The sequence below is a fragment of the Homo sapiens genome, chromosome 22, assembly GCF_000001405.40.
Source record: "Homo sapiens chromosome 22, GRCh38.p14 Primary Assembly".
Lineage (NCBI taxonomy): Eukaryota > Metazoa > Chordata > Mammalia > Primates > Hominidae > Homo > Homo sapiens.
Genome location: NC_000022.11, coordinates 27,126,462 through 27,138,131, shown reverse-complemented (window position 1 = coordinate 27,138,131; position 11,670 = coordinate 27,126,462). Strand labels below are relative to the sequence as shown.

The window sequence follows — 11,670 nt, the reverse complement described above, 5'->3', positions numbered from 1 at the left end:
GTTTATTTTCCAAGCTGGCCCCGGCCCTGCCAGGAGTTGTGGGCTCCCAGCACCGACCACTCTGCTCTCAGCTGGCGTGCACCTACCCATCACTGCGCTGTGACCGCAGCCGTATCCCGCTTGATTCCCTCCTCTGTCTCTCTCATCGGCTACAGCAGCTGAGCCAGCAGGAATTGTTCCACCCAGCTGCTGAGAAGCAGCCAGCAGCAGCAATGTGGGCCATCCCTGGCTTCCCAGCAAAGGCTCTCAGGGGCTGAGGGCCTATGGAAGTCATCTGAGTAGGAAGAGAGCACCTGGCTCTGCCAGGCCAGGAGGCTCCCAGATTGAGACTTGTCCTGTCTGAGTTGACTGAGTACTTCTCAGCTTCTGCCAGCCACTGAGCCTCACGAGAGAATCTGGGTACCTGTCTAGCTCACCTCCCACCTAAAGAGGAAGGGCCCTTTAGGATTTCTCTCAAAGCGGGAACCTCCATGTCTGGTCTATTTCCTGCCCCCTGAACATAGCTAGGGGCACACAGCAGGTCTCAGAATTGGTGTACAACATCCTTTCTCCGGAGTTTCCGGAATCCAGGCTTATCTGGGGTGCCCTACTAAGGCAGGGCACTGAGGAGACTACCTGGAGCAGAGCCCAGCGCATAGTAGGTCTCCAGTCAACACTTACTCGTGAATGAAGGAATGCACACACGCATGTAAGGAGACTTATTTTTACCCAGCTTTGCATCGGATTTGCTGTGGGACTTTGAGCAAGTAGCTTTCCATCTCAGGCTTCAATGTACCAGTCCGCGCAATGGAGCTCATTCTTTCCTGTTGAGCAAATTCTGAAGACAAGGCAAAGGTTTTTGACGTTGGGTGGGGGAGGGGTCTGTCACTGAGACAGACCCCTGTGAAATAAATCACAACACCATGTTTGCACTGCACATCTTCATCTACAGTGTGACAGTTAACTTCAACCTCAGAAAGGCTGACCTTAAGCTAGTTGCATCACCTGTATTTGTTAACTGTTGCTGTGTAACAAATTATCCCAACATTTTGCGTCTTAAAACAACCTGCCTTCATTATCCCACAGTTTCTCAGGGCCAAGATTCTGTGAGTGGCTTAGCCGAGTGGTTCTGGCTCAGTGTCTCTCATGAAGTTGTCGGCAAGCTTCTGGCTGAGGCTGTGGTCTCTGAAAATGTGATGGAGGCTGAAGGACCCAAGCTCATTCAAGCGGCTGTTGGCTGGAGGCTTCAGTTCCTCCCCATGTAGGCTTGTCCACAGAGCTACTCATAGCACAGCTTTCCCCAGAGTGGGTGGTTCATGAGAGAGGCAGGAGAGGGAAAGCATGATGGAGGCTACAGTCTTTTTATAACCTAACCTTGGAGGTGGCATGCCATTACAGCCATCATACTCCAGTGGCCACACAGCCTGGGAAGATGTGAACACCGGGAGGTGGGTGTCTTATTGAGCCATCTGGGAAGCTGGTGGCCATATGGTTCAATCTAGAGTTTGTGTCAAGCCATAGAGAGCAGAAGGCAGAGGAGAGAGGGCAAAGTCTTTTCACCAATATCAGGATAGGTCTGAAAAAGGGGAAGGAGATGGCATTTTTCTTTTTCTTTTTCTTTTTCTTTTTTTTTGTACATGCCGTATGTCAAGCACCATCCCAGGCTATTTTTGTGCATTATTTTATTTTCCCCTCACAGCTAACCCAGTAAAATCACTGCCATTTTTCAGATGAGGAAACAGAGATCACACCCACAACTGGTAAGAGATGGAGGTGGGTTTTGAACCTGAAAGTGACTGGGACCACCTTTCCAACTCTGGAGCTGACCACCCTACCCCCTGCTGTGGGAAAATTGCTGGAAGAGCAGGACAGTGGGTCCGGGTTTCTGTTTGTTATTCTAGAACAACAGAAAAGTCAAGAATCTTCCAACAAGGGTGCTGGAAAACCCTTTGGGAAGGAATGCCAGTGATTCCTTTGTAAAGTGCTTTCCCACCCATTGTGTCTTGGAGAAGTATCCTTGTTCCGAGGTTGCAGGTGGGAAAACTGAGGATAGGGTTGAAGCAGTGGAAGGGGATGGCATTTTTCTTCTTTTGAGTACCTGCCATATGTCAAAACTGAGATTGACATCCCCAGGATCTCCCAGTTCTAAGTACACCTTCTGCCCCCAACCTACCCAGGCTCCCTCCTGATGCCTAGTTCATATCTATGTTCCCCTACAGGCGTGTCTATCTAGGACTTATGTGCTCAGTAGAACAGCCCCACAGATTAACCTTGACCCTGGACCCATGACTCAAGGCATACCTTAAATTCCTCCAGACATTCCCAGAAATAAATCCAGTTATTTGACTGTGTGTGTGTGTGTCACAGGGGACCTCTCCCAATGTCTAAGATGGGCTTAAGCCAGGATTCTATTTATTCTATTTGAGCATCTGCTGAGACGATTTTGTTAGATGCCTACATGACTGAGGACTTAAAAACCGAGAAGAGAGGCTGGGTACAGAGGGTGAGGGAGGATTTTCCCATTGGAGGTCCCTTCACTATCTCTTTTGAGAAGTCTTAATCCCTTAATCACTTTTATTAATCTCATAACAATCTTTCCAACATCAGTTACATCCTTCTTATCTTGGTTAAGCATTTTGGTGAACTCAGAGCTTCTTGTCACTTAGGGACTTTTTCCTTCTGCTTAAGGCATCTGCTCTTACACAGTGTCTCTCCCTCCCTCCCCCTTCCCTTCTCTTTCTCCCTCTCCCCCTTCTTCTCACTCTCTTTTCTATCTCATTCTCTTTCTTCTCTCTCTTTCCCTCTCTTTTCTCTCTTCCTCTCTTCTTTCTCTCCCCTCTCTTCTCTCTCTCTCTCTTTTTCTCCCTCCTTTCCTTTTTCCAACTATACTGTTACAATCCAACAACTCTTGAATTTCAGAGCCAGCAGTAACTTTCTAGACCAGCCAGCATACATTTCTCATTTTACAGCTGGAAAAGCCAGGACTCCCTGAATTTAATTAACTCATTCAAGGCCTCACTGCAGCTACAAGCGAGTCCATGAACGCCCGCTGGAAACAATGAAGCCCCTTGTAAGTGCGAGCACTTAACCCTAACCCACACCATCTCTGTTGACCCTCACAAATGCCTCAGAGGTGGATTCTACCATTGGACTCATTTTAGAGCAGAGGAAACTGAGGCAGAGCAGGGGAAGTCACTCACCCCCACACAGCTCAGCACAGGCACAGCCCAGAGATTGGAGCCCGGGCATTCTGACTTTGGGGCCCAAGCTCCCAATAGCAAGTCCTCTCCACAATGCCTAGGTATCTTTCCCCGCAGAGGCAGTGAGCTGATGCACAAATGGCGGTGAAACAGGCCCCATTACCAAATGAACTGAAGGTGTTGAGGGCTCATGATGGGGTCATTGCCCCACTCTCTGGTTGGAAACTCCAAAACCCCTGCATGGGGTTCCCCCAGCCCAGTTCAGGGTCTTTCTATCTACCAGACCCTGTGACTGTGACTTCTTTTACCTACCCAAAGCTCAGCCCTTCCACAGGGTGCAATGGGACAAGTCAGACATCAGAAAGCTGGGTGGGTCCCAGGCCTGACCACACCTCTTACTCACTGTAGCTGACTCATTCCTCTCCGGGTGTTACTTCCCTTATTTCTCAACTGAAAACATGTATCTTCAAATATCCATCAGCTGCAGCGGCCTTTTGGAAATAAAATACCATGTGGAAAGCCAATAGGAAAAGCCCATTAAAGAAAGCTGGGCTGGAAGTGGGCATTCTATGGGGAGGTGCGGGGAATGCCCACATTCCCATCTTCCCATCCCCTTCCAGGGACCCAGGACACAGTCGGAGCCTGGAGACACAGGTTTGAAGCTATAGACAAGATATATCTGTGTGTTCCATGGCTGATATTTTGTGAGCTTATAGACACCCCCGATCCTCCTCCAAACCTAGGGTGGGAAGAAGGCTGTTCCCGAGGGCGTTGCTCTCCAAACGATTCCAGAATCAGCAGACTCACAGACATGAACCCCTGAGGCATGCTCTTGCCCCATCCCCTCTGCCCTCCCTGGTGACTGCATACCTCCCCCTTCACCTCTGTTCTCTCCTGCTCGCCTCTTTTCCTCTTTGTCTGCCTGACAAGAAGCTGGTGAGGGCGAAGATGGAAAACCAACTGCCGAACTTAGAAAATAAAAACACCCCAGCCGGCTTTATTAATCTCCTGAAATATGCTCTCCAATTGCTGCCAAGCCGAAAGGGCTTGTGTTTTCCCCTAGAACATCGTAAAAAAGTAGAAATGTTTACAAGGATGACTGGAAAATAGTGCAGTAGATCTTTCTGGTAATGTACAAGGTGATGCAGTAATTGCTATGGAAACTAGTCATTATAATTCAATAAAAAGGGAGAAAAAAGTTAAGTTCATTGGGTTACCTATGACTCTATCGTCACATTCTTTACATATATTAGCATAAAATCAGTCCCACTTTTATTCGCAGGGTTTTCACTGGCTCTGCCTTCACAAAAATGTTTGTACGGTTCGGCACAGATGAAGCCCTAAAGGAGACAAGAAAGCTCACTTTGCAAGAAATCTCTCTATATTTATTTTTCCTGGGCGAACTATTTGATGTTTCGGCACAAATGTGCATGCAGGGTCCAAAAGAGAACGTAGCTTGTGCGTGAGGATTGCTGCCCCGTGCATTAGAGGAAGAGCTTTACTGCTCTTAGGGCCCCTGGGATGTGACAGGAAGGGAAGTCTTCTTGCAGGAGAGATGCAACTTGCTGAAACAAAAAGAAAGATGCAAAGTCACTTGACTTATTGCACGTCTGAGGGCTGAGCAGCTTGGGGACACCATCAGAGGGACTAGCCCCCGCGATGCCTTGGGTTGCCACCCTCACGAACACCCCCACCCGCCTGCCAGGTTGTGCAGCCGCACCCAGGCATTTCATACTAAGTACATCATACACAACTTGGGAAGTAGATCTGGACCCAAGGCGATTGTGATACCAGAAGTGGAAATAACCCCGTGGGTGAGGCAGGAAACAATGATTGCTCGAATACCTATTTCTGGCAAAGGGAGATAAAGGAGTGATTCTAAGTGGCTGGTGCACGTGCATGTGTGCTGGGGGATGAAGAGGATTAAGATGAAAAACATCATCCCTGTCCACCAGAAAGCTTGCAAATCTCGATGTAATTAAGAGCCCAGAGCCAGCAGACCAGGGTGAGAAGGCAGGTGGGTGTTCGTCTGGCTCTAGACATGTCACTTGGATGAGGTGAGCTGGTTCACCTCTCCAAGCCTCCCTAATTGTGCAGGTCATTACACTATTGTCTCCTAGTTCCAAACTCACCCTTTTATACTCTGCCTTCCGGTACCCGGGCTAGGATTCTGTGCCCTGTATTGCCGCTGGGCCTGCTGGGCCTCTGTAAGCCTCTGCCCATAGCAGGTGCTAGAGGTAACCCTGAGGCAGATGTCAGGAAAAGGGACATGCTTGTCCCTCTTTGCTTGCAGTTTCTTTTTTTCTTTCCTTCCTTCCTTCCTTCCTTCCTTCCTTCCCTCCCTCCCTCCTTCTCTTCTTCCCTCCTTCCCTCCTTCCTTCCTTCCTTCCCTTCTTTCTTTCTTTTTTTCTTTCTTTCTTTCTCTCTCTCTCTTTCTCTTTCTTTCATTTTTCTGTTTTCTTTGTTGTTGTTTTTAGAGACAAGGTCTCACTCTTTTGCCCAGACTGGAGTGCAGTGGTGCTGTTATAGCTCACTGCAGCCTCGAACTCTGGAGCTTAAGCCATTCTCCTGCTTCCATCTGCTGAGCAGCTGGGACCACAGGTGCATGCCACCACGCCTGGTGTTTTTATTTTCTTAGAGATGGGTCTCACTATGTTGCTCAGGCTGGTCTCAAACACCTGGTCTCAAGCAATTTTTCCTCCTTGGCTTCCCGAAGTGCAGGATTGCACACCTCAGCCATCACACCTGGCCTGCCTGCAGGTTCTGTCAGCATGACGGAAGCAGTGGCTCATCATCCCAGCCATGACAGTCGGTTCCTGGGCAGTTTTTTTTTCACTATGACAAGTGGCCTTGCATATCAACTCTTCAGAAGTCAGTGCCCAAGCTCTGCATGGCCCCTCATCTGGGCTCTTGAGTGCCAGCGGAGTTCTGGTTCTTCCTTCAGGCTTTTTTCCCCCAACTTCTCCCTTTGCTCTTTCATCCCAAGAAAGGCAGCTGCTCCCCACAGTTACTGTCTCTGCTTCCCCCTCATCTCTTCTTTGTGCTTTTCCAGTTTGTCAACACCAGGTCCCTATATTAAACTCACCCTATTAGAATACCTGGCATGGTTTCTGTTTTGTAATTGTGGTCTTTGCCATTGAAAGTAAGGGCAAAGACCACGATTACTTGTGCACCAACCTAATTCTTTGGGTCTCACCTCTTCTAATCCAGCCTCCATCTAGTGTCTGGAACAATCTTTCTGATTACAGTTTGATCAGATCACTGCCTGGAAGGGGTAAATTCCTAGGCTCTTGGCTGTCAGAGCCTCTCTCCCACCCACAGCAGACATCCTCTGTCCATCATATTTATCTTGAGCATGGACACACCCTCAGCATCCTTCTTAACACAATGCCTCAGGACAGAACTATTCGTGCTCCGAGTTGACAGGTGATATGAAGCCTATTGTCCAACCTTTCCCCGGAGGGTAAGTCCTATCTCTGAGCTATGACCCATGAGAACTATTTGGTTATTTATCTCATGTTTATTTAGTGTTTATTATATATCAGGCATTCTACTGCCTTGCCATGTAGAATCTTCCGAGAGAAACCCATCTAGTTAATGCAGTCTCCCACATGGGTAGCTTTATATTTGTTTTTGTCCAAAAGAGCCCACCTTGCATACTTGGATCCACGGTAATACCTAGAGGAATTCTTCAACGGAAACTTAATGAAGTCAACACGAAAGAATTCTTTGAGAATGACTGAATCCCCTCTCTGGAAGAACTCTACTGATAATTTCAGCATAATTATACATAACAGACTCCAAGTGGCACACGGTAGACCTCTAATATGATTGCTAATTATGTCCACATTAAGTCATTGATAGAAATCCTTATCTGCATGTGGCTGTGAGTCACAGGCTCTATTCTGTGACAAATTGAAGTCTTTTCTCCACATTCTGCTGTTCTTTTTTGATGTCTTCCACAGTGGTCTTGAGTTTGTCCTCTGCCAGCACCCCTCCAAGGGACACACTGCAGGATGTAAGTGAGGGCAATGAGTAGATACAGTAAAATAACAGGAAATAGGGCCGGGCGCGGTGGCTCACGCCTGCAATCCCAGCAGTTTGGGAGGCCAAAGTGGGAGGATTGCCTGAGCTCAGGAGTTCACAACCAGCCTGGGCAACATGATGAAACCCTGTCTCTACTAAAATACAAAAAATTAGCTGGGTGTGGGGGCATGTGCCTATAATCCCAGCTACTCGGGAGGCTGAGGCAGGAGAATTGTTTGAACCCAGGAGGCAGAGGTTGCAATAAGTCGAGATCGTGCCACTGCACTCCAGCCTGGGAGACAGAGTGAGACTAAGTCTCAATAAATAAATAAATGAATAAATAAATAAATAATAGAAAATAGATTCTGGGCCTTAGAGCCAAAGAGACAGTAGGGAGTGGTGGTGACTGAGGCAAATGGAGGAGGCTTGACTCCAGCTTATCTTTGCCATGTGGGTACAGGAGCCTATCATTACCAGAGCATCTAAGAGATACTGGAGGTGGGCGGATCACCTGAGGTCAGGAGTTCATGACCAGCCTGGCTAACATGGTGAAACCCTGTCTCTACTAAAAATACAAAAATTAGCCAGGCATGGTATCAGGTACTTGTAATCCCAGCTACTCCAGATGCCAAGGCAGAAGAATTGCTTGAACCTGGGAAGCGGTGGTTGCAGTGAGCCGAGAACGGAGATCACGCCACTGCACTCCAGCCTGAGCAACAGAGTGAGACTCTGTCTCAAAAAAAAAAAAAAAAAAAAAAAAGCTAGTGAGCGAGAGAGAGATAGATCCTGGAAATCTGTGGGGTGTTTGTTTGTTTGTGTTTCTGAGACAGGGTTTTGCTCTGTCACCCAGGCTGGAGTGCATGCAATCACGGCTCACAGAAGACTCAACCTCCCCTGGCTCAGGTGATCTTCCTGTCTCAGCCTCCTGAGTAGCTGGGGCTACAGGCACCACCAAGACTGGCTAATTTTTTATTTTTATTTTTTGTAGATATGGGATCTTGCTGTGTTGCCCAGGCTGGTCTCAAACTCCTGGCTTCAACTGATCCACCCGCCCCCACCTCCCAAAGTGCTGGAATTATAGGCATGAACCACTGTGCCTGGCCTTGTGTTTTATATAGAAATAATGAGATTCGTTTTCAATGTTGGCAACTGATTCAAATTTCAAATGGAATGTACACATATATCAAAGTATCACATTGTACCCTATACATATAGACAGTGGTTATTTGTCAATTAAAAATAATTTTTTTTAAAAAAAGCACTTGGGGCCACCTTTGGCCTGCACACCCCTAGTTGGCACTTCTGCAGGATGCACCCCAAAGAACAAGGGAGGATCCTGCACAGTGGTTAGGAGCCAGGACTCTGCAGGCAGAGTGCTTGACTCAAATCCCTCTCTGCTATTTCCTGGTTGTGCAACCTAAGCCGAATTACTCAACCTCTCTGTGCTTCAATTTTTCTGTCTGTAAAATGGTGATGTTAATCATAGCAACAACTTCATGACATTGTTGTGAGATTTGAATGAGTCAGAATGTGCAAGGCCTTTAGTAAGTACACATGAGATGGTATCTATAAGAAACTTGTATAAAATTCCTGATCCCGTAAGCAGCAGGTCAGCATCACTTTCATTCTAAGCATTTTGAAGATCTTCATTATTTGTAAACTTAGAGGCTCTCCCCAGCGGTCCTGGTGGAAGACAGGGGCAGGCAGAGGAACCATTGTTAATAGCTCCATTTTTCAGATGAGAAAACTAAGGCACAGAAGAGATCGTCGTTTGCCCAAGGCCTCACAGCAAACCCAAGGAAAGACCTAACCTTAGCCCAGCTCTCCAAAACCCTCTCTCCTCTCTGAAGTTCTCTGACCCTCCCAGCCAGCCAGCCCAAAACGCTGCCACACTGCCAGATGCCCCTTGCTGTACTCCAGATGCAAAATGACAATAAAGTGCTTTTTTTCTTTTTTTTTCTTTTAAGAAAGAGGAAGAGAGAGAGCAAAGGGAGCAGAGGGTGGGAGAAGAACTGTTCTCATCACAAATTTCTCTCTGGCCCTCTTCCCAGACTTGAAGTTCCTGGCACGGCTGGCAAGATTTGGGGCAGGCGAGTGGGTGAGCATGCTGAGCAGCAGCAGAACAGCAGGGGGTCCAGCTCTGTCCACCCCTAATTTCTCAGGCTGACCCCAAGCCCCCAGGACCAGGTACATAACTGTGGGTCCTGGTGCAAAATGAAAATGCAGAACCTCTTGTGCCAAGACTGCTAAGAATGTCAAGAGGGTGCCTGCAGAGCATGAAACCAAGGGTAGGACCGTGGGTGACAGCCCAGGTTGTTCACCCCTTGAAGTCGGTCTTGGACACTCCCCTTTTTCTAAGGGACATGCCAGACTCACACAACGGGAACGCAAAGAGGGTTAAAAGACGCCCTCGCCTCTCCCCATATCCTGGTGAGATAAAACCACCACTGGGAGACCCAGGACAATTTTTATGTAGGATTAGAAAACAAAAATCAATATTTAATTATCTGTAAGCTTTTTGTGTCACTGAATCTTTAGCACCCTAACAGGGAGTACCGGCTGCCAAAGCAAAAGTAAGTCATTAAAGACGCAGTATCGCCGGCCATCCCTTTTTAGAGTCGGGCCATAAATAGAGAACATTATCACTCCTCACATGCTGCTATTGTTATTTATCTTTACAATCTCTATTTACCTCTATTTATAGCAGATTTCTCCCATATATTATGGGGCCAGGTTAACTTTAACGGAGTTCATGAAAAGAGGTACTTAAAACTTTGGAACATGCTTATGTGAACAGATGGCAAGGTTTTCAGAAGCTATGGGGCCCAGAAGGCCGATTTGAAGGGTGTTGATTTTTTTTTCTTCTTCTCTTATTGCCTCCACTCTCTCCTATAAAGTCTGCCCAGAGTCCTTCATCTCTGGCACAGTTACCACAGCCCAGGTGGAAATGGATGGTTGACACGACTAGAAAATCCCGATTCTGGACTTTCAGGTCTCACCTGTAAATGGGCTTTTTAATTTGCCGTGAAGAGAGTAAAGTCATGTTTTCAGAAGCTGGGAGCTTTTGCTTCACCAGGGAAACCCTCATTTAGCTTTGTACTTTGCTGTCTTCTTTTAGCCTTAGACACATTGAACTGTAATATTTCCAGTGACCTGCCTCTACCAGCTTCTCTAGGCAGAGACAGAATCTGGGCCACTGGAGGATTCACACTGCCTACCACAATTTCCAGCACATAGTAGATGGACAATAAATATGAGGAATTAGTATATAAAGAACTCAGCAGAGTTAAAGTTAAAATTAGGCTGATCTGAGTTTTAATTTCTGCTTTGGAACTTACTACCTAGGGGACTTTCGGCAAGTTCATTAGTCTCTCTGAGCATTAGTTTCTTCATCGAGTGACTTGCATAGCCCAGTGTCTGTTGCAGAAAGCTCACTGGCATGAGTTAATTTTGTATCATTAATTCTGAGAGCCACATAACTCTTTAGAACAAATATGAATATGGGAAAGTAAATAAATGAATGCATGGATGAATGAATGAATGAAGGAGGGAATGAATACATGGATGCATGGCTGGATAGATGGATGGATGGATGGATGGATGGATGGATGGATGGATGGATGGATGGATGAAAACAGAGGAAACGTCTCCTCAGAAGCAGAGCTGGGATCCAGGAAATGTAATCTGGTGGAAGGATTAGAGGTGCTTTTGCTTATTAGTTTCAAAATAAGACAATATAGAAACAGACCTGAGGATTTGTAAAAATCTGCATGTAATAAAGGTCGCATTTCAACTCAGTTTGGAAAGGATTATTCTACAAATAGCACTGGGATGATTGTTTAACTAGTAGAGATTGAAAATAGAGTTAAATTGTTACTTCACAGCCATTCACCAAAATCAGTTCCCAATTGATTGGTGTTAACTGGAAAGCATCAACTCTATGATTCCCCTAACCCCTGATGAAAATGTGGGCTAGCATTTTATGACCTCAAGCAGTGAGGACATTTCTAAGTATAAAAACAAAATAATAAGCTATAAAAGTAAAGATAGATTTATTAGGCTACATACTACTAAAATATTTACAGGTTAAACAAATAAGAGACATAAAATTACTGGGGAAAAATTATTTGCCTCATTTTGACCGGCAAAGGGTCAATCAACACAATATATTAAGAGCTTTTGGATATGATTAAGAAAACAAAGAATAAAAGCAAATAGAGAAAAACAATCAAGTGCATGAATGTGAAATTAATCAAGGAAGGCATAGAAATGGGCCAATAAGCACATAGCACAAGCTAAATAAACTTCACTAACAATAAAAGAAACACACCTAATCTGAACAGATACAACTTAAAATGGTCAAATTAGCCAACTTTTCTTTAATGATAACACACACTGCTTGTGAGGATGCTGCAAACAAAATAGGCACTCTTGAACACCCTGAGTATAACCTTTCTGGAATACA

The 11,670-nt window shown here is 46.1% G+C and overlaps 4 annotated features.

Moving 5' to 3' along the window:
- Nucleotides 2,852-4,051: an enhancer, noted in NCBI's record as "P300/CBP strongly-dependent group 1 enhancer chr22:27530043-27531242 (GRCh37/hg19 assembly coordinates)". NCBI's record gives its function as "activates an origin of replication core promoter dependent on BRD2, BRD4, P300/CBP, MED14 and CDK7 cofactors, with strong dependence on P300/CBP, by STARR-seq in HCT116 cells {active_cell/tissue: HCT116}" and the evidence as "EXISTENCE:reporter gene assay evidence [ECO:0000049][PMID:35650434]".
- Nucleotides 2,852-4,136: a biological region, named in NCBI's record as "P300/CBP strongly-dependent group 1 enhancer GRCh37_chr22:27530043-27531242".
- Nucleotides 3,071-4,136: an enhancer, noted in NCBI's record as "amplified fragment containing the chr22:27529960-27531023 (GRCh37) CAGE-defined region". NCBI's record gives its function as "transcribed enhancer that activates a basal EF1alpha promoter by reporter assays in THP-1 monocytes {active_cell/tissue: THP-1}" and the evidence as "EXISTENCE:reporter gene assay evidence [ECO:0000049][PMID:24670763]".
- Nucleotides 3,431-3,725: an enhancer, noted in NCBI's record as "tiled region #5002; K562 Activating DNase matched - State 8:EnhW, and HepG2 Activating non-DNase unmatched - State 22:ReprW". NCBI's record gives its function as "activates a minimal TATA promoter and a strong SV40 promoter by Sharpr-MPRA in K562 cells, with weak activation in HepG2 cells {active_cell/tissue: HepG2 | K562}" and the evidence as "EXISTENCE:reporter gene assay evidence [ECO:0000049][PMID:27701403]".